Source organism: Homo sapiens, chromosome 4 (assembly GCF_000001405.40).
Source record: "Homo sapiens chromosome 4, GRCh38.p14 Primary Assembly".
NCBI classification, from domain to species: domain Eukaryota; kingdom Metazoa; phylum Chordata; class Mammalia; order Primates; family Hominidae; genus Homo; species Homo sapiens.
In genome coordinates this window covers 184,880,973-184,905,570 of record NC_000004.12, presented here as the reverse complement: position 1 = coordinate 184,905,570, position 24,598 = coordinate 184,880,973, and the positions used below count along the sequence as shown (strand labels likewise).

Here is a 24,598-nt window from a genome sequence, read left to right as displayed (position 1 = left end):
TCGCCATGTGGAATAAGGATGAGGATGGGTGCCCTCGCCCACCTTCATGCAATCACCCAGGCATCTGGAAATGTCTCTCAACCTTCTCAGTGGCCCCAGGACACAACCCAGATTACTCATCTCATCAGTAGGGATTTCTGGATACACTCAAAGGATAGCTGTAAAAAGCTTCCATGAATATGTGGTACAACACCATGGCTTTGCATATGAGGAAAGAGGGAATATAACTCAAAGAACCATCTTCCATGGAGAGAAAAGCAATCCAGCTAGATTTAAAGCTTAACTTAAACCAAGTCTGGCATTTTCTCTTCTAGGATAGTGGTCCACTTTTCTCTAGAAATCTCATTTTGAACTCAGTTGGCGTTTTTGTGTTCATCTCTGAGCCAAGGAGTTTATAGAACCCAGAATGAGGGTCTAGGTTCTATTAAACCTCTAATTTGATTCTTCTTCTCAACATATTAATCTAGACAGTCACTACCAATTCATTAGAGTCGGCATAAAAGATGAAATCTATTTGCTATTCCCATTACAATTTCATTCTTTTTTTTTTTTTTTTTTTTTGAGACGGAGTTTTGCTCTTTTTGCCCAGGCTGGAGTCAATGGCACTATCTCGGCTCATCGCAACCTCCGCCTCCCGGGTTCAAACAATTCTCCTGGCTCAGCCTCCCGAGTAGCTGTCATTACAGGCATGTGCCACCACACCTAGCTCATTTTGTATTTTTTGCAGAGATGGGGGTTTCTCCATGTTGGTCAGGCTGGTCTCGAACTCCCGACCTCAGGTGATCTGCCCACCTCGGCCTTCCAAAGAGCTGGGATTATAGGCGCGAGCCACCATACCTGGCCTACAATGTGTTTTATCGTAATATGGTGGAGGGGGCACTGAACTTGAAGCCCAATGGCCTGAATTTAAATCTAGACTCTGCCGTGACCTAGGGCAAGTCATTAAATTTTTCTGTTCTTCATCTTTAAATAAAGCAATTGGAGGAGATAAACCTTAAAATGCCTCCCAGCTTGTATGATTCCATTATTCTCTGATTATGCACTATTTTTGTTTGTGCTTTGAAAGTAAGGAAATGACCTTAATACTTGAAAGTTATCATGCATCAGTCGATTCTACTATTCTTCCATGCGTGTGTGAAATGGTGTGTGGACTGGTGTGTAGATTGTCTCACTGTAGTGACAGCTAGGTTGCATTGCCCAGTTTTTCATTTCTGAATGAAGGACTTATTCCCCCAGCTGCCAGGCATGATGCCTGCAAACAGCCCTCAAGTCTCAGTCCCCCTGAGGAGTTGCTCTGGGCTGGAGGAAGCCACTTTGCCTGAGACTTACTGCCTTCCCAGAGGCAGCTTGTACCCAAAGACATTGTATCCACATGGGAATTTAAAGATAGGGTCCCCTCATCCAAACTCAGGATAACTCTGAAAGGTTCTACAAGCTCAGAGCTTCTCATGGGGTTAGCTGAGGCCTTTGATGAGACTAAATTGCAACCCAGTTTCTCCCTCTGTCCAAATTTGCTTCTTTGCCTTCCCCCACAAGGAGTAGATCCCAAAAGCACCCCCCAGTAAAAATCTTGCAGACTAATTTCCATTCAGTCTGTTTCCCAGGTAACCTACTTGTACATCATATAACCTCCTAATGGTATTATAACATAGATGAATGTATTTGGAAGCCGGAGGAAAGTATGTTTCCATGGTCATCCAACTAGAAGATGATAAATCCAGGGTTTAAACCCATGCCCTGGCATCCCTACTCCAAACTACTATAATATTCTGCCTCCTTGACGTTTTATTCATTTCTCAGATTTTATACAAGTTTCCCAAGTGTACATTTAAAAATTGTTGCTTAAGTGTATGCATATTTTCCAAATATTATATATGTTTTCAAGCTAGTCTGCAAAGGTGAATGCAAGTATTGGGAATAGCCCCAATAAAGTGACTTTCAAAATAAGTCACCCCAAAGTTAGGAACCTAAGAAACAACCCAGCAGTCCTAAATCCAGCCACTTCCAAATTCTTTTTAAAATTTTTTTGTTTTGCCATTTTGTGTTTATAAGCTATAGCTCCTTCCAAATTCTGATGAAAATAGCGATGAAGACAAAAAGAGAATGCTGTCTGACAAGTTGCAGGTGAGAAAAACTGAGTGCAGCAAAGTCCCCAGCGGAGCCGCTGAGGGATTGTGCAGACAAGAGATGCTGTTCTTCACACTCCTGGATTGGTATCCACGGTCCTGCCTCTGCTGGGGCCGTGAGCAAGCGTGGGACGGTGAGCATTGCCAGGAGCATCTGCGGTGCTTTCTGCAACTTCTCTCCCACCTTGCCTCCTTGCGCTGAGGCTCTCTGGCACTTTCAGAGACCAGCAGCTGCTGAAATGTCCTGTTCTAAGAGGACCTGTTCACAAGTGGCTGTGTAGGCCGATGCCAGAGGTGGTGATAGTTGACAAAGTTCTAGACTCAGCCCTGCCACTACCACTCAGTGATTTTAGGGAACTGCAGGCCTTGCCATGCCTCCGTTTTCTCAACAGCCAAATGAGGATAACAATACCTGTTCTTCCTTCGTATGAAACAACTATGAAAGACAAATGTGACAATGGCAACGGCATCACTTGATGGTTACAAGTGTTGCCTATTTTCCAAAACCCATTATTACATCCTCTGGTAACAGAAGTGGAGAATTATGAATAGCGATTTATTCATTGTAAGTTAAAAAATGTCTCATACTCTTTTCTTTCTTCTAACAGATGATTCATACCTCACCTCTATCACTACCTATCTTCATGTTTCTCTTTCTGGTATGAGGTCTTGTGCATTAGCCTAATAGTTATCTAATTCCTGGGCCAAAGATCTAAGGTTGGAGGTCAGTGGAACAAATTCAGCTTGCCAACAAAATTGGTTTCAACTCACATGGTGTGGCTGTTATGTTTCAAAACTTGAACTAGCAGAAAACAAAAATTCAGATTTCCAGCTTCGTTCAAAATTTCAAAAATCTGGTTCCACTCCTATATGGCAAGAGTTAGCTGGTGTAGAATGGCAGCTACCCCCTTTAGGTAGGGCACATGAGCTTGAGTTTTCCGCAGTCACCATCATTCCCTATTGCAGCCCTCTCACTGATGCCAAGTGTTCATTGTAGTTTCTCATCTATACTTGCAAATCCATTCTGTTCTTTTAAATTGCCTGACCTCCCCCTGCCCCAGAGTCTTTTAAATCTGTCATCTCCTATTTTTAAAAGTGTCAGATTCATGTACTGGCCAGTGAACCCAAAAGCCTATGTTCTTAGGTGGCACTAAGAACGGGTGGTACCCCAGTGCTCTTTACTGTTTGAGTTGGCTCAGGAACTAGGATTTGTAGGCCCGAAGGACTAATCGGTCTTTAAGACTCAGCTCTGAGATCTCCTCAGATATCCTGGTTGTATAACACAATATACATGTTGGTTGTGTCTATGAGTTGACAGGGCTCTAAAGCATTCATCACACGAATGTCTTTGAGGCCAATGCTGTCCTAGGAGTTTCTCGAATCTTGCTTGGTTTCCTTGTCTGTATCACCACTGATCATAATGAATGCCCTCGTCTTACCCCTGGAAAATTGCATCAGTGGTTTTGGTCTTTTTGTCTCATCTCTTTCTTCTCCAGTCCACTACTTTACTGGAACCAAAGTTAATCTTCCTGGGTTCCAGTAAAATATAATCTGCTCTCTCCTTCATTTATAAACCCCAAATCATTCCTAAAGAATGAAGTCCAAGGTCCCTATGAAAGACCGTCCTCCATCTAACCCTAAACCACTGCTCTGTCCCATCTTCCTCATACCCTGGCTTCCTCCCAGTTCTCCACATGCACCATGGCCTGCCCAGCGGGGCAGCCTGCACCATCCAGCACCTTAGTTTAGAGTGTGCTACGGTAGCCCTCAGACCTCTGCATTTCAAAGGTCAGTACCTTTTTTAAAAAATGTGGGAAACGTGATGTTTTTATTAGGCTAAGTAAGAGAGAATGTAAATGATAACATAGATGGTATCATCTATATTCAGCTTGATTTCATAAGAGAAAGAAAAACAGCAACCCTCCAAAAGTAGAAAGTACATCATCCGAAACCTAAGTTCCTTTCAATTGGATAAATTTAGCTTTTTGAAAAGCTTCCTACCTGGTCTTTATTTTTCTCATGTCCTTTCAGACCAGTGAAAACGTAACCACTGGCATCTGTCCTGGGCTTGCTTTTGAGACACACGAACCTATCCATCTTTTTCATTCTAGAAAATTCTCACCCATCCTTCAAGATCAGTTCTTGAGTGAAGTATTTGCTGACTCCTGAGGCAGAGGTAGTCGCTATCCCTTTGTGTATCTCCTTGTTACGACAAAACATATATCGATTTTTGATGGTGATTTCTTGGTCACATGGAACATGGAATCACTAAAGCCCCTTCAAAATCCTCTTAAGCTGGCCGGGCAGAGGGGTTCACACCTGGAATCCCAGCACTTTGGGAGGCCGAGGCCATGGATCACTGGAGGTTAGGAGTTCAAGACCAGCCTGACCAACATGGTGAAACCCCCGTCTCTACTAAAAATACAAAAATTAGTTGGGCATGATGGCAGTTGCCTGTAATCCCAGCTACTTGGGAGGCTGAGGCAGGAGAATCGCTTGACCCCAGGAGGTGGAGGTTGCAGAAAGCTGAGATTGCACCACTGCACTCCAGCCTGGGTGACAGAGCCAGACTCTGTCTCAAAAAAAAAAAAAAAAAAAAAATCCTCGGGCGGTGGGCAGTGGCTCGTGCCTGTAATCCCAGCACTTTGGAAGGCCGAGGAGGGCAGATCACCTGAGGTCAGGAGTTCGAGACCAGCCTGACCAACATGGTGAAACCCCATCTCTACTAAAAATACAAAAATTAGCCAGGCATGGTGGCACGTGCCTGTAATCCCAGCCACTCAGGAGGCTGAGGCAGGAAAATGGCTTGAACCTGGGAGGCAGAGGTTGCAGTGAGCCGAGATTGCACCACTGCACTCCAGCCTGGGCGACAGAGTGAAACCCCATCTCAAAAAATAAAAAAATCCTCTTAAATAGCCTCTCTTCTCCCACATTTCCATTCCCTATGGCAGCTGCTCTTCCCTCTATTTCTCTTTAAAAAACATCTTTGGGCCAGGCACAGTGGCTCATGCCTGTAATTCCAGCACTTTGGGAGGCTGAAGTAGGTGAATCACTTGACCCCAGTAGGAGGAGTTTGTAGTGAGCCGAGATTGCACCACTACACTCTAGCCTGGGCAACAGAGCAAGATCCGTCTCAAAACAAAAACAAAAACAAAAAAAGCAAAACGTCTTCAGCCCTTCTGGGCACACTTCTACGTCCCCGCTACCCAAAACTGCACTGGTGCACTGGAAGAGAGTTCAGTGAAAGCTACATCTGTCCTCAGCCCAAACGATAAGCCACGGTGCCTGAGCCATGCCCTCATCCAGCATGACAGTGAGCTTTCTAGCCGAAGTCTGTGGTCCCAAGTCAACGATGAGGGACTCATAGCAGAAAGATCTGAGGCCTTGCACATACGCACGTTTTAAAAACAATGAAACAATGAATAAAAGTTCTGTAGTGACGGCCAGTAGTGACAGTCCATGAGGGGACATCCTGGTACTTTCCCCTGTTTCATACTTTTCCTGTTACTATAACCATAGTCTCTACCTTCTCTAGAAAGATGACTAAAACATGTTTAGGACACCTGGGCAGCTGTACTGAGATACCAGCATGTGGCAATCCAGCCATTATGGGAGCTGCACTACTAAAGCACAGGTGCGTCCTGCCCATTCTTAAGCCCAATTAGGAGGCAGGGGTCTTTGATGGTGGAACAGAGTGGACCCTGCTGTGCATGATGTACCCAGGCTGTGTCAACTGCATTTGTGGCTTGTCCCATGACCCTTTGGCCCATGCTGCTGTGAGGGTGGCTGTTGGTCAGGGTTGAGAGGCCAGAGAGGAGTGGGCAGGCAGCTTCAGGCCCCACGTTGGTGTTGGCCTGGGCACCTGTTGGATCAACACAATAACTGTACCCTGGAGTTCCTGGAAGCTGCCTTCTGCTCAGCCAGGCCTGCTTGTGGGCGGAGCCCATGCCAGCTACATGTGTCAAGGAAGCCACAGCTTGGCTAGTGAGCAATGCAATTCTGGGAATGTTCAGGCTCTCTCTGTTCTTTCCTCTCTTGCAAACCATGGGCACCCTTGGGTCCCTTGGGGTCACTATGTTACACCTGCTTTTTATCTGTCTGGGCAAGAGCTGCTCAAGCCACACCTTGTGACACTGAGGTAAGAGCAGAACGTTGCAGAGTGTGCAGGCTGGAGTGTGTGCTAAGGCTCTGTGTGCTGATTACTCCTTGTGTGTCTCATTGCTTACAGGATTTTTTTTTTTGAGACAGGGTCTCACTGTGTCACCCAGGCTGGAGTGCAGTGGTGTGAACATAGCTCACTGCAGCCTCGGACTCCTGACCTCAAGCAATCCTCCCGCCTTAGCCTTCCAGGTGCTTGAGATGAGAAACAGACTTTTTTTCCTTTGAGAATTCATTATTTCTCCCCTTGGGCTGTTTGTTCAAACCCACACAGGAGCAGGAACATTGCTTTCGATTGCCAAAGAAATGACATAATGATGCCAATGATTAAAATGTCAAGAACACAGTGTCTTGGGCTGAGATGGTAAAGGCAGCATTCAGGCAGTGATGATCTGGGGTGATAGGAGTGGCTGTGGGGAGACGGAGGCCTCCCTTCTTGTAGGATGGGACTCGGTCTTTCCTCTGCCTCATTGCTATTATTGTCTTGTTTTATTTTTGCTTTTGTTTGTTTGGGTAGGTGAAAAGGCAGGTCGGGTGAAGAAGAGCAGGATGTTTCATTTTTATCAAGCATCACCTGATTCAAAATGTAGCCACTGAAAAGAAGCCATCGTTTTTGGCCTGCGTCTCTGAGGATAAGATAGTGCGTGGGTGATGGATGCAGCCCAGGTGGGAGCTGTCTGCAAATAACCCAGCTGCTTCCTGTGGCCCTGGTCATCCTGCTGCCCTCAGCTTCTCCCACGGAGGCCACCTGCCCCCCTAACACTGAGCTGCTCACCTAGTCCAGCCACCAGCGACGGCCCCTGGCCTTTGACGTGTCTGTTCTCTCCTCTCTCACTCCACCACCACTAGCTTCCAGGGATCTCCAGCCTGTATAGAAACTTCTCACTACGCTCTGCTCTCGCCCTTTTAGCAGTCTCCTTATGCTGCTGACTCCACCTCCCAGGCAAATCATTCTAATTTAATTCTTTACAAGTATTCTCCCTCCTGGAGTGCTGGGCTCCACCACGGGGGCAATCAAGGCACATCACCCACAGCTTTCCAGACACCCACAGCCTTCCTGTCCTGCTGTGAGCGTGGCTCCTTCAGCCTTCTTCCTTCTTCGCCTGTGGGGAGTCAGACATTCGCCAACCTCGTGCTCAATCCCTGCCTCTGTCCAGGCCTGCTAAGCCCATAAGACATATCTGCATGTGTCAGAATATGTGCAAGCTTTCGACAGGATCCCCGTTTCTCCCCATGGAGCTTTTGGCAAATGAAGGGTGTGGTTCAGCAGCTGGTCTGATGTCCCTTAAGCTCCCCCACACCAGCACACCAGGACTGTCTCTGTCTCCACATTCCAGCATATCTGGGTCTCAGCTTTGACACAATCAGACACTGTTGCTGAAGTTTTTATGTTTATATGACAGAAGAAACTGTCACCCCTCCCCTGCCCCCCGCCCCCACCCACCTGTTATAAGAAAGAGCTCCAAGGTCTTGAGACCACACGCAGGGGATGGGAAAGCTGACATTAAAGGGGAATGAGGTCTTTCTGTGATTCCAGCAGCCTCAGGAGGACAACGTCAGAAACCAAAAGCTCCTCTGCCCAGGGATGGGGACCCGCCGACTTCAAGGGCAGAACAGGTGCCTGGCTAGTGGGGGAGTTCCCCAATGTGGATTTAAACTGTAGTGTCTTCAGAGAACATAACCAACATTTGTCTTTAGGAGATGTGTTTGTTTGAGTAGATCAGCTATGAAAATACCCAGCCGGCCTGCAGCCCTCCCGGCAGATGCTGAAAAGGAAACCCGACTGGGAGATGCCGCCCACCCTTATCCCCAGAGAGCTGCGTTGTTTCCTCTTGCCTTGGCCTTTGGATCCGGCCATAGCAAGCATCCCTGGGCACCTGGCTGAAGCTGGAAACTCGGGATAAGAATGGAAGCCCTGGAAGGGAAGAAGAACCGAGGAGTGAGCTTGCCCTGTGAGGAGGGGTGGAGCTCTTCAGAGGTTGGGGGTGAACTTACGAGACACCTGAGGAAATGGAGGCTGTGCTGGAATAGGGGAGCCTGGATGAAAATCAGAGAATGAGAAGGCTGGGTTCAGAAGGGTGGGAAAGTCCCCGGGCGTCCCCCTCGAGGGGGATGAGGTCATCCAAGGCCACGAGGAGGACCAAGCCTTTAGGCAGAACCTTAGTATTTACCCTCCTGTGTTGTAATTCTGCCTCATTGTGGCTTTCTAAAATTGCGGAAAGATGTACATAAGAGTTACCATTTTAGCCATTTTCAAGTATACAATTCAGTGGCAGTAAGCACATTCACGATGTTGTGCAACCATTACCCCACTGATTTCCAGAACATTTCATCATTCCAAACACAAACTCCGTACCCATTAAGCAATATTCCCCTTTCCCCCAACCCCTGCAGCCCCTGGCGACCTCTGCTCTACTTTTTCTCTTTGAATTTGACTACTCTAGGTATCTCAGATACTCAGGTAAAGGGAATCATATAATGTTTTTCCTTTTGTATTTGGCTTATTTCACTTAGCATGTTTTCAAGGTTCATTCACGGTGTAGAATATATCCAAATGGCATTCCTTTTAAAGGCTGAATAGTATTCCATTTTATGTAGATGCTACCTGACAGTCAATGAATGGGCTCGCTGCCATATGTGCATAGAAACCCATACTGTGGCTTTTTTTTTTTTTTTTTTTTGGAGTCAGTGTCTTGCTCTGTCGCTCAGGCTGGAGTGCAGTGGCATGATCTCGGCTCATTGCAACCTCCACCTCACAGGGTTTAAGCGATTCTCATGCCTCAGCCTCTCAAGTAGCTGGGACTACAGAGGCACACCATCATGCCTGGGTAATTTTTATATTTTTAGTAGAGACGGGGTTTCGCCATGTTGGCCAGGCTGGTCTCACACTCTGACCTCAGGTGATCCACCCACCTCAGCCTCCCAAAGTGCTGGGATTACAGGCCTGAGCCACCACACCTGGCCTGATTTACAGTATTTGAAATCAAATCCGTCCTCAGCGTTTCTCCAAGGGGATCAGAGCAGGGCACTCAGCAACATGCTTCCTTTAGGTGTGTTGCAGAAGCTTAGCTACTGACATGACGCTCTCTCCTGTTGCATTTAAAACTGGAAACAACTGAAATGGTCAGCAACATGAGACGGCTGGGGAAATCATGGTCCATTTCTATCAGCCTTCACCAATAATGTCCTTCAAGATTTTTCAGTGAGATGGTCAAAGATCTCATGATATAAAATTGAATACAAAAAAAGCAGATGACAAAAGACATATACAATGTTATACATTTGTAATACATCTTAATACATCTCTTTCCTACACACACACACACACACACACACACACACACACACACACATATATATATATATATATACATGCAGGAAATGATAGTGCATTGTGGTGAGATATATGTATATATATAAAAGCAGGAAAGAGATGTGTGAAGTATAGTTTGTCTCTGGAAGATGGGGTGAGGAATAGTTTTTATCTTTTCTACATTTTTCATAATTTTTTTACAGTAAGCATACATTATTTGCATAATCAGAAAAAAAGCACTATACATGTGGAAATGGCAGGTATGCATGCATACATCCAGCACTATTCCATCTGGCCAGAGAATCCTGTGTCATCTCCTCACATTCATCTCTGGGTGGTCACCCATGTCAGGACCGTGACTGGCCCATGAAAGAGCCAAAAAGAATCCTCAGAAAATATCTACTCACTAAATTCTCTGCATGACCTAGTCTCAGGAAGGAAAGGGTGGAATCTTGTTACCATATTAGCAAGAGTGGCTGTGCACATGCTTTCAGGGAAGAACTTCCCTATTATGACACTATTTTTAAAAACAGGCTTTCCCGTGCTTAATCTGTTTTGTAAATGATCCTCTCTCTGCCCCTCCCCATCCTACAAAAAAGAAGACATTCGTTTTTACGTGTGTGTTAATGGTAATTCTGTTGGTAAGGTTAGGTCCTATTGCCTGGCCTCAAAGGGGAACCCATTTAAGACCTCTGTCCCTTGTGGTTCCATGGTCTAGGAAGGCAGCCACCACACAGTCCAGGAAGAGAGCCTGACATTCCAACTCAGCTACTGGTTCACTTGGGTTAAAAAACGTCATGGGCAGACAGGCTGGCCAAGTTCTCTTTGGATTCAATAGCGATGTCGTTTATTTTTATATATTTACCTATGCATATTGTATTTCATTAGAACAGGCTTCAAGATGGTATGCTAGCATTTGTTTGCTTTTATTTATTACATTTATAAGTATTGGTTTATAAAATTTTATGCTGTAATAAGATGTTAAAAACAAATCAGAAGAAAAGTAGAAGAAAAGGAGGCCGGGGAAATTAGTGTGCAGAACACTTGCTGTAAGGCCTTGCAGAGCTACCAAGGTTGGATGGGAAACTCAGCTGAGAGCTTCCTAGTGGTTAAGGAGGATCCCAAACAGAGGGTCACCTTAGAGCTGATTCAGCGAGGAGAGGACCATGAAGCAAGCACTCTTGTTGATGGACTGTAACCTTCTTAAAACACTGTCAACCAATAATTGAAAACTCACCCAGAGTCCAACAACAGCCATGTGCAGACACAATCTCCTGGGGTAGGCAGAGAGGACGGAGACACGTTCCAGCTGCCAGATTCATTGCTGCTATCTTCTGAGAAGCTGGCAGTCAATACTACGAACTGAGCAGCGCCCAGAGAGGAGCAAACTAGGGCTGGGTCTTAAAAAGCCCTTGCCCAGCTTTATAAAGTCTAAACGAGTTTTGGTTTGATCCTAAAATGTTGGTAAAATTCCTTAGCCTGGTATTCAAGGCCACCACAAGCCAACACCAACAAATATATATATAGCCTTGGGCCTATTTCTCCACATCACCTGCCATTCCAGTTGAACACTGGCCTCAGGCTCGCCGTGCCTGCTATTTGACATCCCTTCCTCTTCTTTGCGCAACTCTTTCCTTTAACCTAGAATGATCTCCAGAACGATTTCCTTTCGCCTACAATGATCTCCAGATGGGGTCCTCTGGGGCCCAAGGGAAGCCCCACCTAGAAGAGAATGTTAGAGCATTCACAAGGATCTCTTTTACTGATAAGAACACCAAAGCCCCTTGTAGGGTAACTAATGAGTTTCTCTTCTATTTCCGTTTTCTCTTCTAGGAGGACAGCACATTGCACTCTCACCTCCTTTGCAGTTAAGTGTGAAATAGTGCCAATAGAGTGTAAAAGAAAAGAAAGAAGATGATTCACCTCCCAAAGATTCCCCACTGCTGTGTCCCTTCTATCAACTTGATACAAAAAAACACAATGGCCCCGGGAACCACGTGTTGAAGATGAGAGAGCTAAAAGATGGAAAGAGACTGGAGCCCTGAGTCACCACCTGGAGGAAAACTACCCACCCATCAGGAATTTCTACTACACATTTGGGAGTTTTTGGGGTTACAGCAGCTAATTTAACGAAAACACCCAGAGACAAGAGCTATTACTGCACAAATTGGTTAAGTTACCTTTTTGTATGTTTGGGTCCTCTCTATTCGATGAGACTGCGCGTTCCTTTGAAGCAAATCTGTTTAAAATTCTTATATCCCCAGAGGGCCTAGCAGAGAGTATGCACAGAGTGAGCCTTCAGTAAATGCTGAGTAAATAAGCTCCTAATGGATGAAACTGTGTCTTCGAAGTTTGTTCTGACCAGTACTTAGTATAGGATTTTGTGCTGTTGGTCACTTTTCATAAAGGTTCTTGCTATTAAGGAACTTGACATCCAATGTACTCATAGAAAGTAGAAATTCAGGGGAAACAAATAGAAGAGATATGTCCAAAAATCCATTTAAAATTTCATTGACAGATATTTATCTCTTTAATCCTGGAAGTTGTTTCATGTAAGGGAAGGTTCAGTAGAATGAAAACAGGACTGTAAGCTGGGAGGAGATTTGGGGTCTCTTGGCCAACTCTGCCACAAATTGTGTTACCTTCAACTTCCCTGCCTGTAAAATGAAGTCAGTGGTCCCTAAAATGAAATTGGACTAATGGCAAATTAGCTAGCATTTGATTATACATCGATAGTTTCCCCATGTGATTTTAACGCACAAATCAGATTTTGGAACCATTAGGTAGGTGATCTTATCTTATGAGTTTATCTTTTTCAACATGGAAAAATAAATTTGTTTTGCTGACCGAAGGCTGTGTAACTTAGAACTGGAAAGAGACATGTAATTGAATAACCCATCTCTATGGGGCAAAAAAATGAAACACCTTTAGTTTGTTCAAAGATGAAATGGAAAAATAAACATGTTTTAAGATGACTTGGTAGAGAAAATATTTTCTTTGCCAGGATATTAGAGAATTTGTCAAAAGTTATTACACAGGAAAGTCAAAGGTTTCATTGCAGGAACTTAATAAATATTTGTTTATTAGCTGATTAATGTGCTGATCCAAGCAGAGAAGGAATCCTGTCTTTGTTTTAAAGTCAGGATTTCTAATTTCCCTTTCAGGATAAAAATGTGCTCTGTGTTCAGCTAAGCAACCTAAACTGTCTATTCCATTATTCAAACAAACACCAAAAAGGATTGAATGTATCCTCTGGCAACCAAAGATAATACTCCCAGGTCAAGCTTCTTTCAGGCAGATATTAATGGTTACTTTTAGTTATTGAAAAATATTGCATAATTCATGCGCTGTGCTTGACGAAGCAGATCCCACTCTGGGGCCCTCAGGAATTTGAGGCAGAATTCCCTACTCTTTGAGGGTGTCTTCATTCCCCACCCTGGGTGTTTATCATGCCTCTGAGTGAAACCCATAGGATGACAATGGCATAGCTTTTCAAAAAAGAAATCATCCAAAGTCCTTTCTAAAGTGCAGAAGTCAGAACTATTGATTCTGAAATTGAGCCATTTCCAGTGGTACCAAAGAAGTGGTATATTATAGAATTAGAATATGTCTTCTATTCAGCACATTCCAAATCACTCTCTATTCAAACATACTCAAAATGTATTTTTATTCAACATATTCAAAATGTTCATCCTTCAAAAAGTGCTTCCCCCATTAGCCAGCCCCCTGCAAGTCAGTTGTTCCCACCTTTATTCCACTGATATGGAGGTCATTTGAATGCTGTTTGCTCTGTTAAGATGCTGTCATTTGAACAATACACTCACATTTCAGGCAAATTTGAATCATGCAAATTTTAAATAATGCTATGTAAAATAGCAATAAAATACTACTGGAGATTGCTCAATTTCAGAATGGGCAACATTTGAAATAGTCCAAATTCCTCCAAATTTGCATGATTTATCCAGAATGGCATAACAAATCCAGAGCACAGCCAGTGAAACTTACGCTGTGTTTGGACCCTGGTCTGGTGGCTGTGCCACAGTTGCGGTAAACAGAAACCTCCACAGGGAAACCTCCACAGGCCTTGGTCAGTGTGATGGGGAGTAGTACAATGAATCAAAGCAGATGTTTTCCTGAGTGATTTTTGTGGCTATAGTGCTGGGGTTTTTTTGTTTTTTTTTTTTTTTCATTGTGTTAATAATTTAATATCTTTTCTATCCTATGAAAGTATCATGTAAGCTTTTATAATATAGTGGCACTGAAAACGTGCTGTAAATTATGATCCATTCAGTATGACAGGGGAATGGTTCCAGGACCCCCGGCACCTTCCACCCCAGGATACCAACATCTGTGATGCTCAACTAACTGATAGAAAATGGCCTAGGATTTGCATAGAACCTACTTACGTCTTCCTGTATACATTTTTTTTTTTTTGAGACGGAGTCTAGCTCTGTCTCCCAGGCTGGAGTGCAATGGCACGATCTCAGTTCACTGCAGCCTCCACCTTCCAGGTTCAAGCAATTCTCCTGTCTCAGCCTCCCAAGTAGCTGGGATTACAGGCACATGCCACCACACCCAGCTATTTTTTTTCTATTTTTAGTAGAGACTGGTTTCACCATGTTGGCCAGACTTATCTCGAACTCCTGACCTCAAGTGACCCACCCATCTCGGCCTCCCAAAGTGCTGGAGTTACAGGCATGAGCTACCATGCCCAGCCCCTTCCCATATACTTTAAATCAACTCTAAATTACTTATAATATCTAATGCAATATAAATCCTATGTATATAGTTGTTATACTGTTTGGCGTAGGGAATAATGGCAAGAAAAAGCCTGTACATGTTCAGTACAGACACAACCATCTTTTTTTGTTTGCTTCCTGAATACTTTCCATCCATGGTTAGTTGAATCTGAGAATGTTGAACCCCTGGATTCCGAGGGCCAACTGTGGTATGAAGTGACATTAGATGTGATAGACGAAGAAGGCCTGTCACTGGCCGTGATCCATTGGGCCATTAATTTGGGAGAAAGACTCTGCAACATAAAAGAGATTCTGCTAGGAAGTGTTTTGAAGCATCTTTAAAGCAAGGATACCATGAATCTAGATGTAGGCACTCTGAGAACATACTCCCTTCCTGTCTTATGATTATCTATAGGAAAATTAGACTTAGATTAGGCACATCTTGGATGATGCCTTTCTTCCGGAACGTGGCTACCTTTAAATATTTTCATGTGAATATAGTGCACGTGCTTCCTAGATTGTAATCTCCTCGGAAGGAAGCAGAAACCATCTGTTGTTTTTATATCCCACACTCCAGCTAGCTAACGACAATAATGGTGACATTGTGACAGCAGTTTACTGTTTACAAAGTGCTTCTGTCTCAGTTCACCCTTGTGATGACACTGCAAGGTGAGTTTTCTTGGTTTCTAAGTTTGACAGGCCAGGACCCAGAAGTGTAGAGAGAGTCATTGATTTGTCTGGGTCACTCGGCAACAAGTGGTGGGTAAGAAACTGGAGAATGGGAAGCTGCAGGCATGGGATGGGAAGCTACAGGCATGGGATGGGAAGCTGCAGGCATGAGATGGGAAGCTGCAGGAATGGGATGGGAAGCTACAGGCATCCGAATGGGAAGCTGCAGGCATGGGATGGGAAGCTGCAGGCATCCGAATGGGAAGCTGCAGGCATGGAATGGAAGCTACAGGCATCTGAATGGACTTCTTGCATCTGTCTCCCTTTGAAACCCTGCATCTGATTCCGTCTTCCGGGTACAGGCATGTCTGGCAACACGGAGGATGAACACCTCTCACCCTGCCTCCCTGCTGCATGATCTTTGACTGTGGTCCCTCACTCGTTCCTCAGAGCATCAGTTCATCAGGGGGACTCATCTGGGGCTGGCTGGTGAGGAAGAAGGGTCCCTGGTGTGCACTGATGTTCACTGCGTGGAAATGTGTCCCTTGGGATGGAGAAAAGTGGAGGGGCACACTCCATATCAAAGCAGAACTGTCATAGCTGCCAGTCCCGGAGAAAGCAGCAGAAAAAGCCAGGGGACCGGCCACGTTCTATTTCCAGCCATAATGAGTCATGAGATCGTGGAAAGGCCCTTTAACCTCTCCAGCCTTAATTTCCTCATTTGTAAAATAAGAACAACACTTGTCTAAGCCACCTCACAAGACAGTTGTGAATGATGGGAATGGTTTCTTTCTAACGTATGTCACGCTTGGGCAGGGCTGCCCTGGGACCTCCGGTGAGCCTGCTGCAGGAGAGAAGCCTCCCCCCACCATGTGAACACACCCTCCCCACCCAGCCCCCACACTCCCTGGCTGGCACACACGGGACTTCATTATTATTGTTGTTTTAAAAAATGAATTTGGCATTTTGCATTTGAAGAATAAATAACAAATATTCTAGCTAGTCAAATAAACTGAAATACATATTTATAAGCCAACCTATTTTGTTAGTTTTTACAAATATAAAATTATGCCCCCTTTTGGTCTATAAACTAAAATCTATACAATTATCTGAGTGTGAGGAGTGGAATCAGTTTTAAGAAATTTACTTTGGAGGCCAGGCACAGTGGCTTACTCTTGTAATCCCAGCACTTTGGGAGGCTGAGGCAGGTGGATCATTCGAGGTCAGGAGTTCGAGACCAGCCTGGCCAACATGGCGAAACCCCGTCTCTACTAAAAATACAAAAATTAGCTGGGTGTGGTGGCGCCCACCTGTAATCCCAGCCACTTGGGAGGCTGAGTGGGGAGAATCAATTGAGCCTGGGAGGTGGAGTTTGTGGTGAGTCAAGATCATGCCACTGCACTCCAGCCTGGGCGACAGAGTGAGACTCTGTCTCAAAAAAAAAAAAAAAAAAAAAAAGGAAGAAAGAAATTTACTTTGGAAATGCCCAGAACAGGCAATTTAGATGAATTTATGAGGAATCTCTTTTCCTTGACCCAAAGGTACCTAGGGTATAGCTTTACCAAACGAAGGAGATTTGGCAGGGAATGTGTCCTTGTCCTCCAGAAAACAAGGAGTGGCTCTGAAAGCAACACAGGGGAGAAGGAGGCTCACTCCTACACACACATGTACAACCCCAGGAAGGGGGCAGGTGGGAAGCAGGAACACCCCCTTCTCCTCTTCTCAAGCCTCCACCAGTACCCCTTGTCCTTTGGTACCAGCCCTGCCCCTTCCTGGCTGCCTCTGGGGTGCATCTAATTTTGCCTGAGTTAATATCTCTGTCAATGGTTCTACGCAGTGGGCTTTGCTCTGGGGAAAGACAGCAATAAGTTTTGTGTTGTGGTCTTTTGATTCTGGTTGCTGGGAGTGCCATGTTGAAGGTGAGTCTCAGGCGAGCCATGGCTCAGGGAGAGTAGTGAGCACCCATTCCACAGAGCTGCTTTCCCTTCTCCTGGGCCTGAAGTTCCCCTGGGAGGGTCTTGGCTGACAGCCTGTGGCAACCAAGCTTCTTTGTTCACTGTTAGACACACCAGAATTTGACACAAGTCAAGAGTGTGCAAGTGTATGTTTAGAGAAAGAGGGCTTTCCCTCTTACCCGTTGCATAAATGACTTTAAAAGAATCTTCAAACTGCAGATGTTCTAGTATGTTTCTAGGTCCATCCACCACCCCCACTTACCCCCTTTGGTATAGAGACCTGTTCTGAGGTTGGGTAAGGAGGCTTCAGGAGGCCCTGTGACTTGTCCTAGGCCACTCAGACAATTGGTAGAAGAGCCAGGCCTAGAACCAGTTCTCTGTACCCTCCCATCTTGGGACATGGCTAGCATGCCCTGGTTCCCTGGTTATCCCTCGGGAGGGTCAGACTATGTAGGTCAGAACTCAGATAAGGCACCTGGGGAACACATGGAGAGGCCTTTGCCAAGAGCAGTGCAGCCTGAGAAACAGAATGAAATCTTTGAATGTTGTGGCTGCAGAAGGAGGCAATGTAATCGACTGCTGGTGAAACCCAGGAAAGGAAGCTGGGAGCAGGCGACGTCGGAGATTGAGGTGTTTAGTATCCAGGCCGCAGGCACTGGGCCCCATTTTTGGGAACAGGCCTCTTACCCCTGGGAGGGTATCCAGCACTAAAAAAGTCAGAAGCTCAGTCCCATGGGGACTGAAGTTGTTGGCAAGAGGCATAAATGGATATTCAGGTTTAAGAAATAGGGCTGGAACCTCATGATTACATCAAAGATGGGGCTTATGAAGGGAGAGGGGGCAAAGAAACACCACAGCGTCCAGAAAAAGGTGTCTGAGTGTTGGGCCAACCCCGCTAGGCCCATAGATAGGGGTGGTCCCAGAGGTGAGAAGGGGGTTGAGCCTGCAGATTTGGGATAGTTAAGGGGATTGGTGCAGGGACAAAGATGAAGGCTGCTGACCAGGCAGAACTTTGCACTGACTTTTAGCCCAGTGCTCTTTTCTATTAAATATTTATCTATTAGAAGTTCTGCAAGGCTAAGACTTTTCACCCTTGTACCCTATAAAAAAGGAAGGGTAGAGATGTGAGGTTCTGACTCGCTCCTGCCAGTTTGGGGAAAGCAGTCGTATTTACCCAGATTTGGCAATCCCATATTGGATAACTCAAGCAGAGGAAAGTCTTAGCCCATGGCCAAGCTCCCAGTTCTTCATAAATACCAGGAAAAAATGGGCTTTTAAAAGGTGTTACATAAGTCATCCTATTGAAAAGTCAGGTAGGGAGTACAATGTGCAATTCAGTCAGTAAGGCAGTTGCCACTAGACTCGTGGAGGGAAGAGGGAGATTGAGACTTGTATGGGAGGCAAGATAGAGAGGGGAGGAATACTAGTCTTGCAGTCAGAAAACCTGGTTGACTCTGCTATCCCACTGCTCTGGGCAATGTCCTCATCTATAACATGGGGAATACACATCCCAGAGAGGAATAAGAAGTAAATGAAATTGTATCTTTGCAAGTGCATTGAAAGAATTGCAGAGAATTATTCTCCTATAATTTACATCCACCACCCCTTTCCTCTTTCTTGGCTATTCAGATATTCTTGGCTGAGTCGAGGAATGAATACCCAGCTTGATTAGGCAGGTGTGGACTGAGGCTGGTGACCAACCCCACTGTCCCTCAGGAGCTTGGTGGCTGGTTCTTCTAGCAATAGCTCACCTGTGTCTAATCCCACATTTACTCTCTTAGAGCAAGAGAGAGAGGCTAGCATTCTGCTGACTGTCCAGGCACTGAAATGATCATGGTCAAGTCATATTCAACTAACTCCTTTTTTTCTGTAGAAAATACTATATTATAGAGTTGCACATGATCTTGTTGTAGGAGGGAGGTGAAAAACTAATTAAGAACATAGCTTGCTGAATGAGTATTTCCTCAGAGTTGATTAATATCAGTGTGCTAGCCAGAGCGAGATCATTAGGTCTCTGTTTTTGGCCATGGTCAAACTGACAACTTAATGAGTAATGCACAGAAAGCATGCTGATCAGATCTGCAAATGCGGGAAAAATACTTACAACCAAATAGCAAATGCTAACTAAATAGATGATAAACAAAACCAAATAAATGCCCGTAAGATTCTGTTAATGATTTTCGCCCCTGGATGTGCACTAGAATCAACAGGGAAACATATTTTAAAAATATTCATGCCTTCTAATTTAGTTTAATTTCCCCGGGAATTTAAAAAAAAATTAAAGAAAAAAGAAAAATCACATGACTAGGATCCTTTCCCAGAGATTCTGACTGAGTGTGGGGCCAATCTATGTGAAAATCATTTTAGAAGGTAGTAAAGGCAAAACAAAACCAAGATGCGAAGTGGCATACACTTTAGGATACTAAGTATATGAAAATACATACGCAGAAAAAGATGGTAGGAAAATATAAGAAACTGTTAACTGTGATTAACTCAGGATTAGCAAACAGATTGATAATAAGTGACCTTACTTTCACTGTATTTTCCACGAAGCCTTCAATAGTCACAATGTATTGCTTTTTAATCAAGGGAGAAAAGTTGATTTTTTAAAAAGATGTTGGAGTTGACTGATTACTTTTGTGTGCCAACTGTATAATGTTGGTTACTAAAAAAACTATCAGAATCATAGGCTGCCTGTCCATGAACATGGTAGCTACTTAAGATCACGAATGACACCATGGGCTTTGTGCTGGGCAGAACTCACTGGAGTTGTGTTTGCCTCTGAGGACCATATATGGATAGGGATATCATCCGCCAGGAAATGAAGGGCTGCAACACATCATGAGTCAAGAGCAAGATCCTGGTTTGGAAAAGAGGAGACGGGGCTACGGCAACTGTCTCTCTATATCTGAAGTGCTTTACTAGAGAAGAAGGAGCAGGTGTCCTCAAAAGCCATTCATCAGCAAGAACATGCTGGCCCAACCTAAGAAAGAGCCTGAAAGAATAAAAAGGTGCAGCAGCAGGGTTGGCTGCTTCCAAATGTATGAGGTACCCCATTATGCAAAGTGTCAGTGCACGCTCTGAAACTTTATGTATTTGGTAGGAAAAACTTCTGTGTCCTATTTATTCACAAATGTACTGAGATGTTCATTTATTCAATAAATATTTATTGAGAAGATTGTGTGTTGCAAGAAAGTTGGAGTAAGTACCTTTCAAAAGTTCTTTCTGATCAAATCATGCTTCTGCTTAGTTCAAAGGAAGTGTTGGGGCTCTGGTATTATGTTGACTGAAGAAAAGAAAATCGAGCTTTTAAAGAATTAAAGTTAGTTTTATTCAGAAGTCTGACTCAGGACTACGGACTGAGAACTACAGCCTGGGAGGAGTCTTTCAGAGAGGTCAGACTCCTCCAAAGCAGTGTTTTAGTTCATAGTTTATGCAAAATCACATCAAACTTGTTCAGAAGTTACAGTAAAGCAGAAATACATCAAGGTTAGGATGTAAGAGTACATCTGATTATAGGTCACAGAGGCATAATCATTAACCACACCAGATGTTGTCTTACGTCTAGGAAAGGGCAAAGACCAGGGTCACTTACCTTTTCTGGAATACAGCGACCCAGGCAAGAGATGTGGGAGCCGTGTGCTCTACCCTGCCATGTCTTCAAAGCATCCCTCCGGAGAGCTACACTTGCCACAGTGTCAGGGGCTTTGTGAAATTATGCTGGCCAGCAAATTGAGAAAATGCACCTTCTTACATTTGCTACTCTGTCTCACAACTATATTTGTTCAAGAAAGTTTTATTAGGTGCTAATTACCCAAGGAATAATTATTAGTATGTACCATGAATAGGTACAAGATTAAGGTTAAGATGCTGGATTCCAAACCTGCAAGGTTAAGGCCTTTGGTAGCAGTTACAGGAAACTCTGAGCAGTGCTGAGAATCCAGGCCCAATTCCAGATGGAGTCATTTCTGCTTGACTGATCAGGCCAGGGGGCGAGACGGACCCAAGCGGGAGGTGAGCAGCCTTGAGAGAGCCAATGAGAGGGGCTAAGGCCAGGAGACGGGGGCAAGGGCACTGAGAAAACTAACTGGACAAGGCCAGAAGAGAGCTGGACTCTTAAATTGGAGTGAGTGGAAACAGAGACAATGAAAAGGCTGGGAAAACGGTCAGATTTTCTCACAGAGCACCCCTCCCCATCCCCGCCTCCCCACCCTCCCCATATCCGGCCTGCACTGCAGCCCCAACCCCCACACCTCCATTCCTCCACTGCAAGGACCTGATCAGCAGTGAACTTTCTGGCATGTCTTGCATTGCTCAAGGGTCAGTACAGAAAAGGCATCTTTATCTTTTTCACTAACATTTCCCCAAGCTCTTATTTCTTGATTGAAACACACACACACACACACACACACACACACACACACAGCTTTTTTGAAGCTCAAGATCCAAGAAAAGAGGTTCTCACTGTTGATCAGCCCGTTAGACCAAGGCCAAGAGTCTAGAATGAGGTTCCACATGGAATTCCCATAGCTCCTTTGTGACTCCCCCATATAAACTCTCTCATCCCTAATTGGCCCTGGGACGTATCAGTTACCCCCCACTGTGGGGCAGGTATCTCAAGCTGGACATGATCCTCTGGAATTGGCCAAAGCCTGGAGCCAAGGGACTGGCCATGCTCAAATGACCATGGTCCAGCACAGGAACCAGAGAAGGTCCCAGTGGACCTTTTCCGGGAAGGTGGCATTTTTTCCCTGGCATGGTTGCTATGCCTGGCACTGTGCTATCTGTTTTATATACATATGTATTAATTCTTACAAAATCCTTGAAGAATATGCCATTCTAGAGATCAGTAAGATGAGACTGATAGAGTGAAATGAGTTACTTTATATTGCCAGGTAGTGGAGTCAGCATTCAAGCCCAAATCGGCTCGAGTGCAAAGCTCATGCTGCTTATACGATACCACACAACCTTCCTCAGAGCAATGCTATACATCAGCTGCATCTGGAGGACAGGGCCATGAGCCAGAGCAGAAGAACCAAAGGCCCACAGCCCATTAGATCAAGGCCAAGAGTCCAGTACTGACAACTTACACCCTTTCTTCCCTCCTTTCCCTCCCCTCCTCCCTCCTGTTCCTTTACCAGTGCAGGAGAGATGAGACCCCTGGGGAGGTGAGAGAAGCTTGGGCTGGGTCTGGAGGTGCACCTGGAAAGCAAGGTTCTGTAGATCAAACAAGCAAACCAGAGCTGCGTCTTCAGCCCCACAAGGAGCCACTGAACATGGACCAAGTGCTCAATGCAGACAGCTTACATCTTCATTAGACAATTGCGGAGTTGCCCCAAATTGTTAAGTAACACTCAGAGCTGTGTGCAGCCAAGTCCTGAAGGAGACTCCAACAGCCAGAATTCAGTCAGGGCCAAGGTCAGAGGAGAGCAGTGTGGCTAAAGACAGCTGAGAAAGGCGCCGAGGGGCCCACAGTCCCCCACTGGACTTCTGCCTCTGCAGTGTCTGGATCAGAGTAAGTGTTTGTCGAATGAAAAATAGAAAATCAGGGGTAGTTTGAATTCAGATAGAAAGAAACGAGTTGAGATGACATTCTTAGAAAGAGGGAAAATACCAGATAAGTCATAGGGGCACAAATAAGTGGGGAGAGGGAGGAAAACTGCCACGGTTCATAGTGGGAAGAAGTGGGGGAATCACCCTGGGTAACTGGGTGGGACTGATGAATGCAGGGCCATGAGGGCCTAACAAGCAGCTGTTTTGTCCTATAGGCACAATCTACTCACAGGCACTCTGGTATCTCCATATGGGTGTCTAATAAGCATCCTGAACTTCACTGGTTCTAAACTGAGCTCCAAATCCCAGGTTTTTACATCTTGGGATGCACTGATGGCCACTGCATCCTCCCACTCGCCAGGCCAAAAATCTTGGAGTCAGTCTTGTCCCCTCCCTTTCTTTCATAAACTGAGTTTAATCTATGACGAAAAAAGATGAGCTCTACCTTCCCAGTGTGCCTAGATTCTAGAATGCAACCGCTTTTCCCCACGCCCACTCTCCACCAAGGTCCAGTCTCCGCTCCTCCTGCCCAGCTCATCACTGCGGCTCTTGGGCTGACTGCCCGGCCTCCACCCTTGTGCCCTGGACTCTGCTCTCAGCGCAGCTGCCAAAGGCGTTATTTTAAAAATGCAAGTCAGATCATATCACTCTGTCTTAGTCCATTTTGTGTTGCTACAAAGAAATACCTGAGATTGGGTAATTTATAAAGAAAAGACGTTTATTTGGCTAACGGTTCTGCAGGCTGCACAGGAAGCAAGTCACTGACATCTGCTTCTGGGGAGGGTCTCAGGAAGCTTCCACTCATGGCGGGAGGAGAAGAGGGGCCAGCATGTCACATGGTGAGACAGCAGAAATAGAAGAGGTGCCACGCTCTTTTTAACGACCAGCTCTTGCATGAACTAACAGAGTGAGAATTCACTTACTACTTTGAGAACAGCACCAAGATATTCACGAGCGACCCACCCACCAGGAGCCAAACACCTCCCACCAGGCCGCACCTCCAACACTGGGGATCACATTTTAACATGAGACTTGGTGGGGCCAAGCAAACCATATCCAAACCATGGTATGCTCCCTCACTCAAAGCCCATCCTCACTGCCATTTCTCTCAGAGTGAAAGGCCAACATCCTTCCAATGTCCTGCAAGGCCCATGGTCTGTGCACCTACCTCCATGCTGCGCCTCCCCAGTCTTCCCTCCTGCTGCCCTTGCCCCACTTGCTCCCTCTGCTCCAGCAATACTGGCCTCCTTGCTGGTCCTCAGCTGCTCTGGGCATGCGCCAACCTTAGGGCCTTCATGATTGCTGTTCCTCTGCTGGGAATGCACTCCCCAGGTACCCCCAACGGCTTCCTCATCTGTCCTCCAGGTCTTTACTCCAATGCCATGTCTTCGGTCAGCTCTTCTCTCACCCCCTGGCCTAAAACTGAGTTACTCTCCTCCCTTGGCACTCTTCCCCTTCCTTCCTTGCTTTTTCTTCATAGTATTTATTACAATCTGACTTAAGTACATATTTAATGTACGTCAATCTTCCACAACTAGGATGTAGCTCCATGAGGATCAGATCTTTTGTCTGCTTTGCTTGCTGATGTATCTGGCTCCTAGAATAGTGCCTAACATATAGTAAACATGCAATCAATCTGCAGTGAATTAATTAGTGAACGAGAGAGAACTTGATTAAGGAGAATGTTGAAAGTAAATAACAAGAACAACAATAATAACAATCATACTACTTTTAAATATAAGTTACTGTCTGCTCAGGGTTTTGCTTGTTTGTTTGTTTGTTTGTTTGTTTGTTTTTGAGACGGAGTTTTTTGCTCTTGTTGCCCAGGCTGGAGTGCAATGGCAGGATCTCGGCTCACTGCAACTTCTGCCTCCCAGGTTCAAGCAATTCTCCTGCCTCAGCCTTTCGAGTAGCTGGAATTACAGGCATGCACCTCCACACCTGGCTAATTTTTGTATTTTTAGTAGAGATGGGGTTTCTCAATGTTAGTCAGGCTGGTCTCGAACTCCAGACCTCAGGCAATCCACCCGCCTCGGCTTCCGAAAGTGCTGGGATTACAGGCGTGAGCCACCATGCCCAGCCCCT

General features: G+C 45.2%; 1 long non-coding RNA gene across 3 annotated transcripts, besides 2 other annotated features; it reads left to right on the top strand.

Annotated features, from left to right (window-relative positions):
* Positions 1 to 6,109: 6,109 nt before the first annotated feature.
* LINC01093 (long intergenic non-protein coding RNA 1093) lies at positions 6,110 to 12,571 on the top strand. 3 transcript variants are annotated; one of them, NR_039976.1, is made up of 3 exons: positions 6,110 to 6,264; positions 8,004 to 8,223; positions 11,431 to 12,571. It is a non-coding gene; the product is annotated as a long intergenic non-protein coding RNA 1093 (long non-coding RNA). The 3 variants fall into 3 exon arrangements; NR_039975.1 differs by having other exon boundaries at positions 8,004 to 8,236; NR_039977.1 differs by lacking the exon at positions 8,004 to 8,223.
* Positions 8,163 to 8,452: an enhancer, noted in NCBI's record as "active region_22244". NCBI's record gives its function as "activates an Ori minimal core promoter by ATAC-STARR-seq in GM12878 lymphoblastoid cells {active_cell/tissue: GM12878}" and the evidence as "EXISTENCE:reporter gene assay evidence [ECO:0000049][PMID:35858748]".
* Positions 10,782 to 11,981: an enhancer, noted in NCBI's record as "CDK7 strongly-dependent group 2 enhancer chr4:185814744-185815943 (GRCh37/hg19 assembly coordinates)". NCBI's record gives its function as "activates an origin of replication core promoter dependent on BRD2, BRD4, P300/CBP, MED14 and CDK7 cofactors, with strong dependence on CDK7, by STARR-seq in HCT116 cells {active_cell/tissue: HCT116}" and the evidence as "EXISTENCE:reporter gene assay evidence [ECO:0000049][PMID:35650434]".
* Positions 12,572 to 24,598: the final 12,027 nt, after the last annotated feature.